Source organism: Homo sapiens, chromosome 7 (genome assembly GCF_000001405.40).
Source record: "Homo sapiens chromosome 7, GRCh38.p14 Primary Assembly".
Taxonomy (NCBI): domain Eukaryota; kingdom Metazoa; phylum Chordata; class Mammalia; order Primates; family Hominidae; genus Homo; species Homo sapiens.
In genome coordinates, this window is record NC_000007.14 from 13,936,437 (window position 1) to 13,959,559 (window position 23,123).

At 36.6% G+C, this 23,123-nt stretch overlaps 1 protein-coding gene across 18 annotated transcripts in view; it reads right to left on the reverse strand.

Annotated features, from left to right (window-relative positions):
• The window catches only part of ETV1 (ETS variant transcription factor 1), a 100,197-nt gene that overhangs the window by 45,208 nt on the left and 31,866 nt on the right, over window positions 1-23,123 (reverse strand). For all 18 annotated transcript variants that reach the window (NR_120445.1, XM_011515168.4, NM_001163148.2 and 15 more), the window contains one exon: window positions 2,681-2,810. Coding sequence is in view for 17 of the 18 variants with exons in the window: in XM_011515168.4 (XP_011513470.1) it covers window positions 2,681-2,810 (130 nt within the window). In the remaining variant the exon portion in view is untranslated. The remainder of the gene's footprint in view (window positions 1-2,680; window positions 2,811-23,123) is intronic.

Genomic DNA, 23,123 nt, shown 5'->3' on the forward strand with positions numbered 1-23,123 from the left:
TAACTTCCCCACATGGGATAATGAAGATTAATGAGGTAAATTAAAATGTCTGATATATTTAAACTTTCTTAGAGAATAAGTAAAAAATAATGTCATTAGGAATAAAATCCTATTATAGTCTAACTTCTAAACACAGTTACAGAAGAATAAAATGAGTAAGCTTGATTTTACATTATGATTTTAAACTGCTTTCCTAGGTGTAACTTTCAGGAATGTGATTTAGCTAATTTTGGTCATCTATAAAATATTTTACTAAAACTAAATTTTCTTAAATTTTTTTTAACAACAGGGCATTTCTAAGTTAGAATGCTGTATTTCATTTTGCTGGGCGCAGTGGCTCATGCCCCTGATCCTAGCACTTTGGGAGGCTGAGGTGGGAGGATCGCTTAAGCACGGGAGTTTAAGACCAGCCTGAGCAACATGGTGAAACCCCGTCTCTACTAAAAATACAAAAAATTAGCTGGGCGTGGTGATGCATGTCTGTAGGCTCAGATATTCACGAGACTGAGGTGAGAGGATCGCTTGAACTCGGGAGGCAGAGGTTGCAGTGAGCCCAGATTGTGCCACTGCACTCCAGCCTGGCTGACAGAGTGAGACCCTGTCTCAAAAAAAAATAAGTAAAATAAAATAAAAAGCAATCATCAGTACACTTTTTTCTTTAGAAAGAAATATTTCTTTTTGAATTAAATTATGTAATAATTTATTCTGTTGCTCCATCAATGCAACGGAATTATATCCAGCTGCAAAAATCTTTTACAAGGAGTAAAGGAATATATGCTGCACAAGGCAGCTCTTGCTTCAAAGCAAAGTCAACAGTGTTCATATAATGAATTGCATGTTTGGTTCCACCTATGTTCTTTACCAGTATTTCTGAAGAAAAACCCACTTCTTTTGTGAAATGGTTCACCTAACTCATTCTCATGAATGAAGAAACAAATGATACTATTCCCCCATGAAATGCTGTACTCAATAATATTTTCTGTATAGCGATGGAAGTACCAGAATTTATTGCATATGCCATATATCACTGTGGGGACTTTTCATCCCCCAAAAGAAACACAAAATATTCAGGCAATTCCTTTATTATTGATTTGTGGATGTCAGATATGGCATATAAAACAGTGATGATTTCACAGTCACAATTCTGATTAATGCTGAAAGGCAATGACAATTCTATATCTAACTGCCATTGACTAGAAATTCCTCAATATGTTAAATAATTATGCTGTGGATACACAGTACTTGTAAGGAGAAAATGCAAAAACAAAACTAAACTATAAAATAAAACTCAGATCGATCAATACTGTCTTATCTGAACTCATTATGCTTTAATAGTTACCTTCTACAAGAGACCTTTTTTATAAAACTTTGCAGTTTCAATTGAGCTAGCTCATAATTTCAGGCTCTGGTGAACCTCTTAGAAAAGCAAATATAAAAGACAAGTTTGCAAGAACAAATGGTAATAAAATATCTGAGCATTGGTCAGCTGCCATAATGGCACAAGTCTATGTTTCTCTTTTATTTTTGAGATGGAGTCTCGCTCTTGTTGCCCAGGCTGGAGTGCAATGGCGCGATCTCGGCTCACAGCAACCTCCACCTCCCAGGTTCAAGCGATTCTCCTGCCTCAGCCTCTGTAGTAGCTGGGATTACAGGCATGCGCCACCATGCCCAGCTAATTTTGTATTTTCAGTAGAGACGAGGTTTCTCCGTGTTGGTCAGGCTGGTCTTGAACTCCCGACCTCAGGTGATCCGCCCAACTCTGCCTCCCAAAGTGCTGGGATTATAGGCATGAGCCACTGCGTCTGGCCTATGTTTCTAGAATCTTACATATCTTGGACATAAACAGCGTATGCAATAAATATCTGAGGAATTATTTAATAGAAGACCCCTTTGGGTCATAATGTACAATGAATCTGAATTGATATAACTTATAAAACAGTATGAATATTTGGAATAATTTGTGTAAGTTTGCAAACTAACTTCTTTTAAGAACTAAGTTTCTACTGTAATTGAGAGTGATAATACTCAGTAGAGACAGCCAACTTTTTCTTTATGCAATTAAAGGCCAATATGAAAAGTAGCATCATACAATTTACTTTGAAGGGTTTTTAATGAACATATATGTGATCAAATTTTCTAATAAATGAACAATGCACTTTTACTGCACCACCCTTTATTATCATCAGAAGAACAACCAGCTTTTTAATAGATAATAGCCTCTGCTAAGCCTTATGAAATTCCAGTTTTATTGCAATTGTCCATGAACTCATCTTACAGATCATCTGCAAAGCCTGGCAGATAACTAATGTACTGCTCAGACCTGCCAAATGTTTCATTTTTTTCTGCAAACTCTCTATCTAAAGTGTATAATGCATTCATTCTAATGGGAACTTTCAAAAGCTGCTTGTGCCAAGTAAAACCCCTTTTTCAAACCCAAGATGCATCACTACAGTAGAAAAGCAACTAATGATCTGGATAAAAATTATTGCTTTAAAATGAATCCAAAGTGTGTGATTGGATGGTAAATGGTTCTTTAGAGTTCTGCTAAATGCATTACCTAATTAGCTTGTTACATATTAAAGACGTTACTCATAAAATATGACTTGAGATTTCATATTATTCTGGACTTTTTGATTCAATAAGAACCACTATCCTACATACATACACCTGGTGGCTTTACCTGACATTGTACAGGCACTTTTCTCCATAGCTGAATTTAAAGGGCTGTTCTTGACTGCAGGCAGAGCTGATTTCTGAACATGGACTGTGGGGTTCTTTCTTGATTTTCAGTGGCAGGCCATGAAAAGCCACTAGAAAAAAGAACAAAAATATCCACAAAAATTAAATGCTGTAGGAATTATGGAGATTAATGTGTTCTACTTCTCTTGTTAAAAAGGTCATTCACATTTCATATTAACTTACATATGTAAGAAAAATCACGTTTGATGAATTTCAGTAGCAGAAGATTTCAGAGAATCTTCATATACGCCTTTTCTGCCTTTATTGTGTAACAAAATGCATGCTTGAATTTTCTCTCATTACTTAAGTGAATCACTTGTAATTTGCTTAACTGATATTAACAATGCTAGAAGCTCAGTTTCAAGAAAGTACATTTTGAAAACATATCAGAAAGGTTTCCAATGACTAAAGCAGAAAAATTACAGATGATTAGCCAAGAATCAACTAAAGACCAAAATATAATTTTAAGCATTATTGAAAGGAAAATATATCAACTGCATCAATAATAATAGTTTAATGAAATGACAACTAGACTGGGGCAAAGAAAATCCAGGCGCAGGTCCAGAAGTGACTGATATTACTTTGGGCAAAAACTCAACATCTTTGAGGCCAGTTCTCATCTATAAAATAGAGATTAAGTATCTGCCTATCTAATTACCAGAACTGTGAAGATGAAATCTGAGAAATATGTAAATGTTGTTTGTCACATGTAATCTACCATGAAACAATTATTCTATATGAAATGATGTTTTCACCTTTTTACTGTGACTTAATGCACAGTAATGCTTATATGCATTTATGTTTAATAACGTACAAAGCTACATCACAAAATATGAAAACTAGAAAAATACGTATATGGGGAGGGAATCACAGCTGTAAATCCAATAAATAAAAAACATGCTATAGGCCGGGCGCCGTGGCTCACGCCGGTAATCCCAACACTTTGGGAGGCCGAGGCAAGTGGATCACCTGAGGTCAGGAGTTCAAGACCAGCCTGAGCAACATGGTGAAACCCTGTCTCAACAAAAATACAAAAATTAGGCCGGTATGATGGCAGGTGCTTGTAATCCCAGCTACTTGGGAGGCTGAGGCGGGAGAATTGCTTGAACCCAGAAGGTGGAGGTTGCAGTGAGCCGAGATCATGCCATTGCACTCCAGCCTGGGCAACAGAGCGAGACTCCACCTCAAAAAAAAAAGAAAAAAAAGAAAAAAAAGAAAAAAAAAGCTATATATTTTTTATTCTTCGATATGAAACTGAAGAAATGCCTATTAGAAATCTTATCAGAATAATTAAATTTTTGGTATAAATGGGAAATTGGTTTAAAAAAGGAAAAAATAATCATAAGAATAGATTCTGTAATTTACATATAATATCCACAGGTATGAATAGTCAAGGGATAAACACATAACAGAGACACACGTTCTGGAGATTTATTCTAACTCTTATAGAAACTGAAATTAAAACACAGTATGTTAAGTCCGCTTTCCAAAAAGGAAGATATGACAAGAGGAATTTTGTGGTTTATGATGTCATTTGTCATTCAATCTTAATGACGGCATTACAGAATTATAAACTTGCATTAGCTTGAATGTTATATATAATTTTTAACATAAAAATTTGATATCACAAACTACCAAGCTTCAGGAAAACAAATACTATTTGTTTTATATGCATATAATTTTGATACAAGTGTTCAACAGCAATCAAGAGTCATCTGAAATATTCTAGAAAACAAATTTGCCAAATACGCACATTTTACTTAAGTGATCTAAGAGAAACTTAACACATAATAATAAAATAATTACCCTTGGTACACTATTTCAAAGCATTTTTTAATGTAGTGTGTGTGTGTACATACATGTTTAGTACGCCTATTCAAAGTAAAGAGAAAAGAAAAAAGAGAAATTTTGTCTATCTCCATATATCAAGAATACTCATGTGCATTAACTTTACCAAGTCAGAAAGCTCTAATTCTTCTGAAAGAAAAGGCTTAAGAGCCTCAAGAATCAATTATGAGGACTTGAATTCTGATTTGAACAAACCAACTATAAAAAGACAACTCTGCAATAAATGACATTTTAGTATAGACTAGCTATTAGATAATTTAATGTCTGTTAATTTTGTTGGATGTGACAATAGTTGTATTTAAAAAGTTTTAATGTTAGAGGTTCATAAAATATTTACAGATAAAATATCCAGAATTTTCTTTAAAATACTCTAGAAAAAATAATTGTGTATGAGGAAAGTGATGAATAAGACTAGAAAAATGTTGATAAATGGTAAAAGCCAATTGAAGGGCAGGAGGGAATTAACATTATTCTCTTAACGTTTGTCTATGTGTCCTAAATTTCCTGGGTAAACATTTTTTAAATGTGAAAAGAAAACCCACGAAGAATTTAAAGTAGTGCTCTAGGCCCAGTACGGTGGCTCACACCTGTAATCCCAGCTCTTTGGGAGGTCAATGTGGGGAGATCACTTGAGTCCAAGAGTTGGAGACCAGCCTGGTCAACATGGTGAAACCCCATCTCCACTAAAAATACAAAAATTAGCCAGGCATGGTGATGTCCACCTATAATTCCAGCTATCGGGAGGCTGGGGCACGAGAATCACTTGAACCCGCGAAGCAGAGTTTGCCGAGATCGCGGCAGTGCACTCCAGCCTAGGTGACAGAGTGAGATTCTGCCTCGAATAAATAAATAAATAAATAAATAAATAAATAAATAAATAAATAAAGTAAGAAAATTGTCTCCCATTGTATATCTGCGTGTTGTCTGTGTGTAGGCGAGATCTTAGAATAAGAAATACTAAATGACACAGCTTTGTAATACATTAACCATGCATTTCTTTTTTTTTTTTTTTTTTTTTGAGACGGAGTCTCACTCTTTCGCCCAGGCTGGAGTGCAGTGGCGCGATCTCGGCTCACTGCAAGCTCCACCTCCCGGGTTCACGCCATTCTCCTGCCTCAGCCTCCCGAGTAGCTGGGACTACAGGCGCCCGCCACCACGCCCGGCTAACTTTTTGGATTTTTAGTAGAGACGGGGTTTCATCGTGTTAGCCAGGATGGTCTCGATCTCCTGACCTCGTGATCCGCCTGCCTCGGCCTCCCAAAATGCTGGCATTACAGGCATGAGCCACCGTGCCCGGCCTCTTTTTTTAAACAAGTGGTTTTCGATTATTTATTACATCTTTGAACATATTTAGCAAAGTGTGTATTTCCAAGTTTTGTTTTGTTTTTTAACTTTCACTTTAGGTTCAGGGATACATGTGCAGATTTATTATATAGGTAAGCTCGTGTCATGGGGGTTTGTGGTACAGATTATTTCATCACCCAGATACTAAGCCTAGTACCCAGTAGTTATTTTTTCTGACCCTCTTCGCTTTTCCACCCTCCATCCTCAAGTAGCCCCCAGTGTCTGTTCTCCTTTGTCCATGTGTTCTCATCATCTAGCTCCTACTTATAAGTGAGAACATGCATATATCCAAGTTTTAGCACTTCAGATTAAGTATTGGTTTTACATTTTCATAAGAAAAAGGAGCAGCGACATATAAGGAATTCAAGTAACAAATCATATTATACTTGAGAGATTAGATCAGGTTTACATGACTAAAAATTGATGAACTCTATAGCTAATAAATATGCATGCAGTATGATGTAAAGTTTATCATATTTATCAAAATGTCAGCCATATTGGAGACTATAATGTTTAATATTACTATATTTTAAGTCTTGAGTACCATGAAGTAGGAAAATATTTATAAACAGGACACAAAAAGCACTAACCATAAAAGAAAAAATATCAGCAAATTAGGCTTCAATGAAATTAAGAACACTTTTTCAAAAGACACTGTTAAAAAAAAGGAAAGTAAGTCACAAGCTATAAGATGTTTTAAGTAGAAAGATCTGATGAAGAACTCATTTAACAAAATAAGAATTGCAAAATATCAGTAAGACAAGACAAATTCCCCACTTAAAAAATGGGCAAAAAGTCTTGAAACAGGCCAGTAGTTCACAAAAGCAGATATCCAGATGGCAAAACAAATCGGAACGACAACAAAATATATGCAAAGGTATTTAAAATCTTTATTCTTCAGAAAACTGCAAAATAATCCACATGAGATTATCACTATATAGCTGTATCAGATAGTTACAGATATCACTAGAATGACTAACCTGCAAAAGATAGACATTATGAAGTTTTGGTGAAGACATGAAGCAATGGGAACTTTTATACAAGCTGCTGAGGGTATGGATTAGTATAATAAGCACTTTGGAAAACTTTCTGGCAATATCTACTAGGGCAAGAGAAATCTACTCTATGATCCATTAATACACCCTTAGGATACATCCAAGAAAAAAGGGTGCATATGTTCATGAAAAGACATGTGTGAGAATGTTCAAAGAAGCTTTATTCATGATAGCAAAAACTGGAAAAACTCAAATATTCATCAATGGGCAAATGGATAAATAAATCATGGCATATGCATACAATGGAATGAATACAGGAATAAAAAGGGACAAATTACATGCAAAAACAGATGATCTCACAGGTACAAAGTTACGGAAATATATCTTGCTGGAAACATTTTATATCTTGCTTCTGGGTGGTGGTTATATGGATATATACACATGTAAAATTCATCAAACTATGCACTTCAGATTTTTGCATTATAATGAATGTATATCAATATAAAGTTTAAAAAACTCTGAGGGACATTAATCAAAGCTACACTAATTAAGTTACTTGAACATGTATGGCCTTCTGACCCAGCTGAGACATCTGAAAATGTGCTTCAACTTCACAGGAGAAATTATTCCAGATGGGTAGGAAATGGAGGGTGGAGAGGAATGGCATGTTTGGGGTGCCATCAGGAATGGCTGCTAGCATAACAACAGCCTTCTATCAAAATGTCCATTAGCATGGACCTAGAAGCAAAAGGCATGATCCATGCTAGTGGAAATGCTATTTAGTGCTCTACTGCTTTCAGATTGGCCCAGTGAGTTTCCCGAAGTGACCTTAGAAGAAAGGGCATGTCTTAGTCTGTTTAGGCTGCTGTAACAAAAATACCATAGACCGTATGGTTTATAAACAACAGGTATTTATTGCTCACAGTTCTGGAAGCTGGGAAATCCAGCATCAAGTCACCAGCAGATTAAGTGTTTGGTAAAAGCTCACTTCCTGGTTCACAGATAGCCATCTTCTCGCTGCAACTTCACATAGCAGAAATCACAAGTGAGCTCCCTGCGATCTCTTTAGTAAGGGAATAGGGGCACTAATCCCATTGGCTCCATCTTCATAACCTAATCACTTCCCAAAGTCCTCACTTCCAAATACCATCACACTGGGGAGTAAGTTTCAATATCCGAATTTGCTGGGGCGGGGGTGGTGAGACGGGGACACAAACATTCAGTCTACTGCAGGGCATAAGGATTCTCAAAGGGTTATCAGAGGCAAGCTGATCCCTGAACACAGGAGCCCCAAATCTGGCACATCATCAAATTATCTAGGGAGCTGCTGGAGAAACACAGATTCTCAGACCTCGTTTGTTATTGGTTGGATTGTGTCCCATCAAAATTTACATGTTGAAATTTCAACACCAGAATCTCTTATTTGGAAGATTAAATTAACATAAGATCATTAAGGTGAGCACTAATCCAATATGACTAGTATCCTTATAAAAGGGGGAATCTGGATAAAGAGACATGCACACAGGGAGACTGCTACGTGAAAATGAGGGCATAGGTAAGAGTGAGGCCTCTACCAGCCAAGGAATGCCAGAGGTTCCCAGGAAACTACCAGAAGCTAGGGAAGAGGCAGGGAATAGATTCCCTCTCACAGCCCTCCGATCCCTGCTGACATCCTTCATCTTGGATTTCCAGCCTCCAGAACTGTGAAACAAATTTCACAAAGCAACCCAGTTTGTGATACTTTGTTACAGCAGCTCGAGAAAATTAATACACCACTCCCAGAAATTCCATTCATTAGAGCTGGGTTGTATCAGGATTCTGAATCTTATAAAACTTTTTAGGTGATGCTCATAATTGAGCAAATTTGAATCCACTGTGATCTGATGTATGCCGCATTCAAATAGGTCCAGTAGTTGAAAAGAGTTTTTTTTAAAAATCCAGCAACATCTTCCTTTTCCTTAGATGCCAACGCTCAAGGATTCTTACAAGTTCTCCCGCTCCAGTAGTTTTGAGATCCCCAACTCTCTCCATAACAGGTTCAACCTATGTGGGCCTCAGTCACTATGGGCCCTTGAAACTGATTTTTTTTTTTTCTAATCATAAGCCAAATAAGTAATCCAATGAATCTGAGTTGGCAAAAAAAATTTTTTTTTTGAATTGCTGCATGTGAGGAAAAAAGAGAAAGCCAACCTAAAAATCTTCGACTTACAGCACAAAAGCCGTAGGCTACATTATTTTCCTTATTTTAACTTTCCTGCTTCCTGGAGATTCTATGTCACAAAAATGACTTCTCTTATTTATTCTTAAATAAGAGTAGTGTAGAGACTCCCATTAGAGAGGGCTGAGTTGAAAACGTGTTGGGTATTTCATCACAGGGCTGAGAATCTGAGTCTGCTAACAGGCGGTTTTCCAGTTCATTGGCACAGGCACAAGCGAAAGCAGCACATTCATTTTGTGCAATTTGCTTTACCTTCCCACATGGAGTTGGTGCATGTAAAAGGCTGTTAAGTACTAAATTATTCCTTATCAAATCACCATCATCTGGAGTCATGATCAACACTAATTAAATTACTTTCGTTGAACACGGCTCCAGCCTGCTGCCGAGGCTGCTAGGTACTTTTCATTTCTCTTACAGTACCATCCTTGCTGAGTCTGGAACAGAGTTACAGGCATCTGCGTTGTTTGTAGTTTTAATTAAAGTGAATCTTTCCTTCTTCAAGTGTACCAAATCAAGTGAGTTGACTCCTTCATTTCATTTGCAAAGTGGTGGTTCAAAATGATATTATATTTTTTATCCCTGACTTCAGACAGGTCAGATAATTTATCTAGAAAATCTGCAGTCTTCCTCTGGCATTCTTCAAACACATTTTCCATGGAAACTTTTATGATCCACAACTCCTCCGGACAATCAAATTTTTGGGAGGAAAGGCAGAAAGAACACTCAAGAGATGTGTCTTGCATTTTTTCTTTGATGGAAGCTTGACCTTTAAAACCACATCTTAAGGCTGACTAATGATCACTTGAGTTCTTCTAATGGTTAAATTTAAGAGCTCCAAAATACCAAGACTTTAAAAAATGCACTTCCAAAATAAACTTAACCACTTCTTAATTCAGAAGTTTACTTGGGGTTATGGTATTCCTCATGAAGTGTTTGCTTAACTAGTAACTGTTTTCATTTTAGAACTATGAACTATGACACATCATTGCTTTCAATTTTTTCTACCTATATTTTAGAAAGAGGGCACAATCTTGTCATTATTATTCTACCAGAGGATAGAAATGCCCTGAGCTTTCTAAAAGCAACAATGCTGGTATACAACTACAGCTTTGGTTGAGGGTAGATACATAATGTAAAATCACATTTGAACACTTGAAATATAAGGGGAGAATATGAATTTATTTATTTACTTATTTTATTTATTTATTCATTCATTTATTTATTTTGAGACAGAGTCTCACTCTGTCTCCCAGGCTGGAGTGCAGTGGCACAATCTCAGCTCACCGCAACCCCTGCCTCGCGGGTTCAAGTGATTCTCCGGCCTCAGCCTCCCAAGTAGCTGGGATTACAGGTGTGTGCCACCATGCTCAGCTAATTTTTTTGTATTTTTAGTAGAGACGGGGTTTCACCATGTTGGCCAGGCTGGTCTCAAACTCCAGACCGCCTCGGCCTCCCAAAGTGCTGGGATTATAGGCGTGAGCCACCACACCTGGCTGAGAATATGAATTTAAGATTTGCTCATAGGAGAATAACTTCCCAAACAATCATAACATTGGGGCATTATTTGTATCCTTACATTGAAAACAGATAATGTTTGTTACAACTGACTGGTTAATGTAAATCCAGAGAATGAACAATGAAATCTATGAATGATGTATGTTTTTGTTTATATTTTTACAGTGAAGATGATGGATGATGTCTTGTAAATTAAACAAAGATAATATGTTTAAGTGTTGACTTAACAAACTGGTTGAGTTTGGAATTCTAATAGAAAATACTAATTGTAATCCTAATAGAAAACACTAACTATACAAAAAAAAAAAAAAAACAAACTCAAACACACATAATATTTAACCATTTTCAAAGAATTGTCCCATACTCTATTTGATTCTCATCAGTTAAGACAGGAACATATATAATAATTCCCATTTAACAGATCTTTTAAAAAGGCACAAAGAAGCTAAGCACCATGTCTGACTAAAGATCTAACACTAAGTCATAACACATTAAGAATTAGAGCCCTGGGCTCAATCTTAAGGTTGTAATTGTTGAACTCTTGAGTATATAATTCAAATTGATTTATACACAGACACTCATTATTTCCTTCATGCATGAGCACCACTATCACATTATATGAGATTTTTATTCATTCATTTCTTCAGCAATTAATTCATTAATTCATTTGTTAATTCATCTACCATGCCCCAGACACTACGGCAGGTCCTGAGAGGGTGAAGGAATATGGAGCTATGGAATGAAGATAAATAGTAAGACACAGTCCTTATTATCAAGAGCTCATGGAAGTCCAATTAGAGCTTTATTTGGTGTTTTAAAAATTCCCTAATAAAGACATTAGGCAGTATTCTTTAAGTTTGACTAATTCACGTGTGTCAGATACATGTATCTGTATGTATGACCTTAGTACTATATTCTTGGCACGTGTATCTAAATAAAAACACTTCTCAGAGTATTCACGTTTGCTTTTAGGCAATCTGCCTTCTTTCAATTTATTACTGTGACCAAAGGCATTTAAAAATTCACACCACTCATATTCCACTGAAGGAAGAATGTTGCTATTCAACAGTTGAAGCTTCCCTTATACTCTGATAACCAAAATGTCACAATGATGGAAAGGTCTCCTTCTATATGTGGACAGCGAAAGTAAATACAGTGATAAGTTGTCTTGGCTCTGACCTTTCACTCTGCTTTCCTCCCAACTCTTGTCTTAAGAGTGAAATAGGGTTATCAGTTTCTGTGAGTAGCAAACAATTACCCTGGGAAGAGAAACACGTCATATTTTTAATTCTTCTCTAAACAGAAATAAAATCCATAGTTTTGGAGGAAGAGCCTTGAAGACAGTCTCTTTATTTTGAGGTTGCGTTTTCTGGTCTGTTCAAAAATCATGTTTTAGAATAGTCTTCTGTATGCTGTTCTAGAACAGAGGCTGGCAAATTACAGCTCATGGGCCACATCCGGCCTTCCACCTGTTTTTGTAAATGAAGCGTTAGTAGAACACTCTCCCACCCATTCATTTCGGTCTAGTCTAGGGCTACTTTGAGCTACAATGGCCAAATGGAGTAGTTGTAACAGAAACCATATGGCCCACAAAGCGTGAAATATTTACTATCTGACTCTTTACAGAGAAAAGTTTGCTGATTCCTGTTCCAGAATATAGTCTATAATAAAAAAAGGAGAAGGAAAACACCAAAGTGGCTGGATGGAAAGTGACACCTGCTAGTGACAGAGACAGCTCAACTAGTCAACAAAGGACACTTAATTTTAATCTCTTAACTCTTGGTTTACTCTGTCTCTCAAAACCAAAAATGTGCAGCCTTGTGTAGCCAATTTTACAGCAATATACACAAACTAGCTGATTAAAAAAATGACACAAAATTGAGACTAAAACTACAAATTTATGTGCTTTGAGAAATTTCAAGGAATTTACTTAGATCAGGGTGATGATGTATAACATGGAGAATTTTTTGCACCTGTCTAAAAAATATAACTGAAAAAGTCAAAACAAATCATAGTGTGGATACTAAAGTGCTTGTAAAAAAAAATTTCACTTGGCTATAGCAGTGATTTAAAAAAAAAAATCTCTGTAAAAGGGAGGGGAGAAGTAAATGGTATACATAAATTAGATATATTTAAGACCAGATACAAGCATGGCATGAAAAATGCACACAGCCTTTTATACAAATATATGTAGTTAGGAATACACTCAGTAGATGAAAAGCATTCACTTTAAGTTAATATCACTTCAATTTCAGGTAATAAATGGATCGCAATGACCTCAATTAGTGCTCAGTTAAATTCTAGAAGCAAAGGGGAAGGCTTGAGTATAAATAAAGACAATGGTGTCACATGCTTTGTGAATCCATCTTCTAAGACACACAGAAGCAGAAGGCATTTTCAGCTGCATCTGAGGCTCTCAAAGATTCTTTCTAGTACATTTACCTCTTCCAAGCCCTCCCCACCCCCACTGTGTACATATACCACTCACACATACACACACCAATATCCATTACTAAAGGGCCTAATCTCAGCCATCAGCAGAGTGCCTTTATGGGGCCATTAAACCATTTCTCTTGTTTACAGTGCCTGAAGAAAGATGTGAATTATGTCTGTGACAAAACAAGCGATAACATTTCTAAACTGCTATCAAAATGCAAACTGAAACACATTTAAGGACAGGGACCCTGATTCGAGTTTTCATGATTTTCCATTATTTGCAGCATCTGGAAATACATTCACCTATAATATTTCCGAGACAGGAATTTAGACCATAGCACAGCAAGTTGATATGTATTTTTTTCTTAAATAATATTCTTTAAGGAGAGCAGCCATTAAAACAAAAATGCCACCAAGTTTTAAAGGAGTATTGTCAGTCTGCAGAGATCAGATACCCAGTCTGCCCCTGGAAGTTATTTCGGCAACACAGGGGAAAAGTTATGTGAACTCTCATCCCTTTTTAGGAACATCAGGGTTTTTAAACTGAAGCAGACATTAGATATGATTAAGGTTTCAGGATTGAGCCAGTGTTTGTTTTAGCTTCGGAGACCTTTGTACTAAAGGAATCACAATTGGAAGCCCAATGTGCAAAACAGATGAGAGTGGAGCTACCTTTATGGGGGAAGGCAAGCAGTCATCAATATGCCCCCACCTTGCTTCCTGAAGTAGATCCTTAGCACGTGCAAGGATCTTCCTGGGCAGTTCAAAAATAAGTGCTGAGTCTCGAAACTCATTTCACAGAAGGGAGCATCAAACTTTTGTGAGTGTGTGTGTGTATGAGAGAGAGAGAGAGAGATCCCAAACTCCTACCAGTAACAGTAACTTCACACTCTCTTGCAGGGATCCCTGAGTAGTCTTGCCAGGGTGTACCTAAATGAAGGAGATACAGTTTGAAAAAGCCCCGGAAGTGATCAGGTGTCTACAGACTTGGAAACTAGACCTGAGGACAGACTGGTGGCCTTCGGATGAATGCTGCAGCCTCATAAGGCAGCTGTTTCTCAAAAGCAGACTTAAAAATTCAACTGTCTCTACATTGGAGAATACCATAACATCTTAATAGAAGAGAATGGGTAAGTATTCCAGATTGGGGTCCATCTTTCATCTTTTCAAAAAGTAGTGGGGATACCAAGATGTGGCCAACTCTCACTTTCAGAAGGTCACTTTCCCCCAGCCCTGATGATCTAACTCAGAGGTTGACAACATTTCTTTGTTTCAGAGTGGTTGCAAATAACCAATTAACTGTGATCATTTAAAAATCAGCTTCAAAATCTTCTGGTTTAGAAATCCAAACTGCTGGCTTCTCTAGGAACACACACACACACACACACACACACACACACACACACACACAATATCGAGCAATACTGGGTCCAATTTCCTGCTTGAAAAACAGGTCAGGAGTTGGCTGAGCCACTCTCAGCTGCCCCTTTGGCCAGGACCTGTGCTTTCCTATATGCCACAGTCCCACAGTCCCCACCACTCCATTCCCCATACCACTTGGGCTAAGTTCACTTCACTCACTTATCAGCCTGCCTACCCCCTATTTAACACATAGATAAGAAATCATCATATGTACAAGTAAATGTGCATGTGCATGTTCTCTCTCTCTCACACACACATACACATCATCTCTAATTGGCAAAAATAAATATTATAAAACTTATGTCACACTCATGAGTTAAATACTCAAGTACCTGCTCACGGGCAATAAGACATAGTGGCAAAGCTAGCAGGCACTTAAATCTGCCTAGTTCCAAATCTTGCCACTGCCACTTATTAACTATAAGACTGGGCAATCCACTTAACCTCTCTGTACTTCGGTTTTCTCATCTATAAAATGGGATAATAACAGCACCTGCCTCATAGAGTTTCCGATAGGACTAAGGGAGCCACACTACGTATAAAGTGTGTATTGAGTCCTTAATGATGTTAATTGTTGGTGTTATTATTCAAACCCAGAATCATCAAGTGTTACAGCCAAAAGAGAACATATAGATGACCCGGTCACATAAAAGCTGACTGGTTACGAACATGGAGACTAAATCTTGGCTTTGCCACTTACTAACTGAAGGACTTCTGGTAAGCTAGGTAACCTTTGTGTTACTCAGTTTCCCCTTTTGTAATATCAAATATTGTAATATCAAAATTATTAATTATAACATCAAATATTGTAAAGTCACAAACCCCACAGAACTTCCTCATGGGATCTGTGTAAGAATTTAATGACGTAACACATAATGAGAACTTGATAGTAGCTGACATGTGGCAAGTACTCAGTAAATGTTTGTTACTACTAGTATTAGTCCAACCACTTCCTTATACAGAAGACAAACAGACTCAAGGATGTACACTGACTCGTAGAAACAGAGCTTCAAGCCATCAGATGTTACTTCACTACTTTTTCTATTTAATCTTGTTTCCAATTTCTCTATCAGTCAACTACACACTAAGAGCAAAATAAATAAATAAATAAATAAACATGGAAAACGTCAGTTAGGACAAGGTATCCCGACAGAAGGAAAAAGCGAAAGGTGTGGCCTGGAAGAAAGAACACTGGATTAGGAGTCGAGTAATCTCTACCCAGTTCCTACCCCAGCTAGCTGCATAATCATGGACTAACTGTGCAACCTCCCTGGCCTTCCATTCCTAATCTGCAAGCTGAAGCCATTAGGCCAAGTCATCTTTTTTATAGCTCTAAAATGTAATGCCTGCGTGTAAGTGCCTGCTTACTTACTGATGTAAGAGAGAAGAGGAAAATGGCAAAGGTCTGGTACAAGAATTCCAAGGGCATAACATTCTAAAGCCATTTACTAATAAGGGCACACACAGAGCTCTACAAGCCTCAATAATAACTGAGGGCATTTGCTGCATTTTAGCAAAGGGTGGCAACCAATGTTCATAATGGCAACCCTTAATCACCATGAAAAAGCAAAATTGGGTGTAAGTACTATATTTAAGAAGGGAGGGAGGGTACATAATGCACGTTAGAAAGAGGTACATGTAATACGGTTAACATTTTAAAACACTTGATGCTTTAAAATTTGACTACGGGGACCCCCCACTTTTCAGTAGGGGACCTCCCACATTTCAGTGGGACAGGGACCTCCCACATTTCAGTAGGAAATGTGGGAAAGTAAGATGTTAGTATATTAATAAAGAAAAGGTAGAACTGAAAGACAAAGTTAGATTCCTAATTTTAAAAGCATCACAAGCGTCATTAATTGCAAAATAAAGAGACCAAATACAGAATATGTTGATTCATTCCTCTAAATTTTAAAGCCCAAACTTAATATAATGGTACTTCAGCAGTAGTGGTACTAAATGATCCTCATCTTCACAGTCTAATTGCCAGGAGAAAGTGCCCTGGGAGGAAACTGGTTCTTCCATCTGGAAAAAGGATAAGAACAGGGAAAGGAAGGCCTAATGTATGAACAATCCAAATCTAATCAGTTTTGCATTTTGCACTGGCTTCAAATCAGATCGTCCTACCCCTACTGGTCCAGTAGATGGAAAGCAGCACGACACTATTTTTTTGGAAACAAATTCTGTACAGGGAGCCCAAACATACAGTACTTCATATCCAACTGGCAGGAATAAAACCTGAACAAGCTGGAGCTATTTGAGAAACAGATCTAATAAATTGAAATGAAGTGCCTGAATCAAGATACCCATCCAAATCCACACCTCTCAAAATTTGCTATACTTAATAAATTACCTAATTATGACCTTTATGAATATTGAAACACCTCTTCTACAGAAATTGTCCCACTTTGCTGTAATAGGGACACTCTTTAAGCCCTGCAAAGTTCCAAAAATAAAAATCTCTTCTCTGCCTAGTAATTCTGTAGTTTGTTTCAAATAATGGACAATACATATTTAGAAGAGACTGGGAAGTGTTTGTTATTATTCGTAGCTGAGTAGGAGCTGGAAGATCCCAGCACTTCCGGGTGTTTCTCAGGCCAGGATGAAGTACTGAGGAATGCTACGGCAGATGGGCCTGCAGAATGTGCAGACACCAGAGGTGCTTTGTCCTGGCTACTGAGTGACTATGAAGACAGGTTCTTCCCATAAGAACATGTTAAAAAAAAAAAAAAAAGAAAGAAAAAGGTGGGCTTCCTTCTACCCTGCATCCCCCACACCTCCACCAGGATGCCAGAACAAATTCCACAGTGCTGTCCTCTGTAGGCAATCTGTATAGATCTCTAACAAATAGTTTAGAACAAAGTGGTAAATATATTCCTTGAAATCCAGTGCTACAAAAAAGAAAGCAGATCATAAACAGACGATAGTGGATGAAGATGTAGCATCTCAAGATGGCTTATTCAGAAGTAAATGATAAATATGATCTTTAATTTTCCTTTTTTATTAAATCACAAACACAGGAGCTCCACCTTAAGATTTTACATTAGTTATTTTATCAATGCGCCATAGTAACATACAAAACAAAATTAATATTGCATTGCCATAGAAGACTACCAAATACTAATATGCCTGTCATGGCTTTGAAATAATAACTACTAAAAAGGCATTTCTAAGATTTGTAAGTATTACTCACTAACAACAAGTAGTCCAATAAATGTATTAACATGAAATAAAATAAAATCATTTTCTCCAGCAGTATTTTAAAGGCAATAAAATAAGTAATCAGTGATGCAAATACTTGCTTAAATGAATTTATTACTGTGGGCTTCAGAACCAGAGCAGTATAATTCTAAATTTAGAATTCATCTCACACGGATTAGCATGATCTAAACAATTCTTCAAATAAGCCCAGAGGTAAGAGCAATGGTACATGGCTTACAAAGTGGAGAAGGCCAACACCAAGACGACTAAAACTCCACATCTATACAACATACTCATGAATCTAGGGAAATACTATTATCGTTCCATTCTTCAAATGTTTGTGCATTACCTGTTTAATATTTAGCTCCTGGAAAGGATCTTTCAATCTCAGTTTGGTGATCCTATATTGTTTGAAAAATTTTATTCTCTTTTGAGTTATTGAATCCTCACTTTTGATACATCATTTCACATACTTTTCTTCCAGTCTGTATGTAAAAAGGATCTGTAGTTTGAATGGTCTTAAATTGACTATTTTAGCACCAAAATGACATGCTGGAAACAACCCTCAATGCTTGAAGTACACCTGCAGCATTCTGATGTCACCCTACTGAAGACATGATTGAGATCAATTCAGACATCACTAGTCACTTGGCTCCTTGTTCAAAACAACCCCATTGGTAGACAATCAAAGCTGAAAATATGTTCTGAATACCAGAGCTAGGAAAGTTTGCCCAAAAAAAGAAAGCCAGCTGGCTAGGGCCAAAAAAAGTACCTTTCAGTAAATGCCAATAAAACTTTACAGGCTGCCAAAATAACAAAGATAGAGTAATTACAAAGGAAACTTCACAATTTTCCTGACAATAAACACCTTCTTAAAACGAAATTTTCTGTCACCTGGTCTCAATTGTTACAGCTGTTAATACTGGCTGGGGTAAATCTTGCAAAAACATTTTATTTGAACCAACTACTAATTTGGCACAACATTTTTATAATTTTTACCCCAAAATAAATTTGAAAATGTTCTTTAAAAATCCCTTCTGATATTTAATTCAATGTATATTGAAGGAGTTTCCATGAGGAACTGCCACTCTTACAGAAAAGCTTCTACCGAAAGTATTTCACCCAACTTGAAAATTTTTCATTTAACTGTATGAGATTAAGAATCCCCCCTCAAAATAAGGGGAGATGTATGACATACAAAAGTAAAGACTGTGATTGGGCAGGGCCACTTTTTTTTAAAGCAGTCAAGTCCTTTTTTAATTTCTTAACAATAAAATAAATATTAACTTAAAAACATTTACAGCACAAGAGCTACATCAGAATAATGAACTCTAAGAGTCTCTGCTGACACAAACCCAGCCATTGCCAATACAACAAGAAGCAAACAAGCCAAATGCTGACAAGGAAAGCCAAGCAAGAAAGCCTTGGAGAGACTTAACGGTGGCCATGAAATACACAGTGAGGAGACACTGTGTAAGACACCTATGTAAGAAACTAATTTGAATACCTCTTTAAATACTTTGCAAGTATTGTAGGAACTAAATGTATTGGATCAGTGAATGCACAGATCACATTTCCATACCTAGAGGATGTACTCCCAAGAAAACTATTATTGGAATGAAGAATTTTTGAATTATATTAGCATATTATGAGTAATTTTTGTGATTTCTTAAAACACTCATTTTTTTCTACAAGAACACATCTCTAATTTTTCATCGGGATCCATTTGGGAGTTCTGAATCACAAATGAACCAAGCCAAATTACAGTATTTCATAAGGAGTTTAAGAGATTACTCTTGTCCACCTGCACAGTCTTTAAAATGAACAGTTACTGAGAAGTGCTGTAATCATAGATATGCAGCTTGTTAAATCTGATTTCAATACCAATACCCCGCATGCAGTTTATATTAAGTCATATTTATACCAAATTACAATTACATTTGACTTAGTTGATATGATCTAGTGATAAAGAAATATTACAATAGCCGAAAATATAAAATCAAGTATTATACAAGTATTCACTAATTACATACACTTGTAACCTAAGAAATGTTCTTAATTTTCACCCTATTTATAATAATCCAGAAGGCCTTCTTAAATGTTCGTTAAATTCTTGTTACACTTTATAGAGTTGTTGATACAACCTCCCAGCTGCTAGTTCACAGGATTTTTTTTTTTATCGGCTCTAGAGTCTCCCTATTACACTATTCCAGGAGTGTACCCTTAAGGCTATATTACAGGAGAGAACTCCATATAATAAGATCATTTCCATCCTTCAGGAACCAAGCCTTGTCTGATGGGAACCAAGATAGTTCACCTGTTACTAAATTTGCCTCCATAGCAATAGTGTCATGGCAACATTCCAATGTATATTTTTTACTTTGACTTGCTAACTGCAAATAAGGGGAAATTAGATTACTACATTAAGCATAAAATGTAGAGCGTAACTAGGTAGCAGTGGTGTACAGGTGTTATTGGAAATAGAAAATCTCAGCATGGAAGCAATAATACTTGAACATTACAAATCTTTTTACTTCTATCTTGGGCAGAGCATTTTGTAGAAACATCAAAATACATATCAAATCATACTAATCCTTGCACAATGCAAGTCTTTATGTTATACATAATATACAGTATACAGAGGCACTACATAGGAAACAAACTCTGCGTTTGATTTTATTGTCACATAAATTTCATTTAAGTAAATATCAGTTACTAATTTCTGTGGATTAATAAAATTTTTAAAAGACTCCAAGAAAAATTGCAAAATGTCAAAAAAATTAAGATGTGATTATTAAGGTGGCTATTATTAAATGAGGAGGTATATCCAAATACTCAAGTGTTCTAATGTTTAACTGCCTTTTTTTAAAACGTCAAACTATATTTACTGCTACGTAAACCTAAGTCACCTATTTATTTATTTATTTATTTTTTATTTTTATTTTTTTTGAGAAGGAGTCTCGCTCTGTCGCCCAGGCTGGAGTGCAGTGGCGCGATCTCAGCTCACTCCAAGTTCCGCCTCCCAGGTTTACGCCATTCTCCTGCCTCAGCCTCCCAAGTAGCTGGGACTACAGGCGGCCGCCACCATGCCCAGCTAATTTTTTGTATTTTTTAGTAGTGACGGGGTTTCACCGTGTTAGCCAGGATGGTCTCGATCTCCTGACCTCGTGATTTGCCCGCCTCAGCCTCCCAAAGTGCTGGGATTACAGGCCTAAGGCACCTATTTAAATGTAACCTTTTGAGATGCTTAGATGGTGGCATCAAGCCCATTTGAATGAACAGGTATTACAATGTTTGCTCTAGATCACAAATCAATTATAGGGATAATCATTTTTCCATAACTTGGTGATCAAAGAGGATGGTAAACAATGACAACAAATAGCATTGGTTGTCTACCAACACAATACAATGGTGGAAACTTGCATATGGAATGAATTTTTTAATATTTCTGTCTTATTTTATTTTCTGCATTATAATCTAGTTCTTTAGAACAATGAGCTCTGCCAAAGCGTCTGCTGTAACTCCAGGTGTAAGGTGTATCAAATACTGTAGCCAGCTGATATATTCAGCAGCTTATATTAGCACTTAAACACACAAAGAAGATTTATACAGCACTCCTTTGTAATTGATAGTTCCAAAAAACTAGAAAAGTATGAAGATGAAAGAGCGCTCTGCTTTCCTTCCAAGTGTGCAAATAGAAAAGATGAACTTTGGAGAAACACATGGATACCACCTGCAAAACAATCCTATGATCACAACCGTGATAGGCCTGGTTTGCATTCTCCTCCTCACCCCTTTGAAGTAAATAGAAGCTTTGTAAAATGAAGGTGTGCATAGGGATAAAAGTTAAGTCAGATAAAGCCTGCTTCTCCTCTTACCATACAAGGCATACATAAATTCTTAGCCAGTGACTATTTCTTTGAATTACTACATTTGATTCCACTGACATAAAATTTCTGGTATATATGCATTGTTTAGCATGTATTTGTTTTAAATATGGTTAACTAGAAGTGTGCCTATATACTAAAATCCATTTACAAAAATACATTATACCCTTTGCTTTTTTCTTTCCACTTTCTCCTCCCCAATAACACGACATTTTCATTCTCAGAAATTTCCAGGTTGGCCCATTTGTTGTTGTTCAGATAAACCTTGAATACATCTGACTTTTGCTAGCCCACAAAATGACCTATCAAACTTCATTCCCATTGCTATCCAGTGTGTATGTCTATATTCAAACACTGCTACCATTCTCTCTGATGGACAGAGCAATTAATACCTGGTCTTGTCCCAACTTAATAGGCCCTCCCCTCATCACTGGGTAAATCATACAAATCTTGAGAAGCCCAGTCGATTATGTAGTAAGCACACATGTATTAAAAATTAGGTGCCAAGGAAGATCGTTCCAGTTCTGTCACTACTTGGGCACTGTTTGTTACTATGGGCAAACTGTTTTGCTCCCGACAATCTTAGTTTTGGCACACAGCTCTAGCTACAAGACAGTGTAGCATCGTGGTTAAGAGTATAAACTCTGGAGCGAGATCTACAACTTGGCTGCTGTGTGACACAGGACAATCCACCTAACTACTCTGTGCCTCGATTTTCTCACCAAAAGAAAGAGATAATAGTTTCTACTAAATAAGGATGTTATGAAGATTGGCTGCATTAAGATATTTATAAAGTGTTTAGAAGAGGAACTAGCACATCGTGAGCATTACACAAGTATTAGCTATTATTATCCAACAAACACAGAGATATTGGGTGAATTATCTCCAGGTTCCTGTCATTTCTAATATTTCATTGAGTAGATTTCTCATTCTGTTGTAAGTCAGGCTTCATTTTCTTCATGAAGTCTTTCTCAAGTACTCCAATCTGTGTTGATCTTGCTTAAAAAAAAAAAAAAACTATAGAATTTAGTATCTGTAAGGACCACTCATTTAATTTGTAGTCAGGTAGTATTTTTTTAATCGTTAATACAATAATAGTAATAATATTAATAATTATGAATGCTCTATTTTATCCTCCTTACACATCTATAGTATCCTCACTCTTCAAAGCCCCTTTGAAAGATAAGGAAATGGAAGTACTAAGAGATTAATTGACATACCACGGTTACCTGGTTATCAATAGGAAGTAGTAGATGGGGCACTGAGCCTAACTAGTAGGACTCCAAAGCCTGCACTCTTAGGTGCTATTTTAACTTCCCACTCTACTGTACCTTAACTAGTCCCAGCATATGCTTCCCCTTCTTCCATACTTCACAGTATGCTTTTAGAAGGCAGGAATCATGTTTTTTAAATATTTTCATGCATAAGAATTATATCCCATATAAATAGATACTTAAGTACCTATCTATCTTTATCCTGGCATTATAACTCTGCAAGTAATTCATATAATGTCTAAAA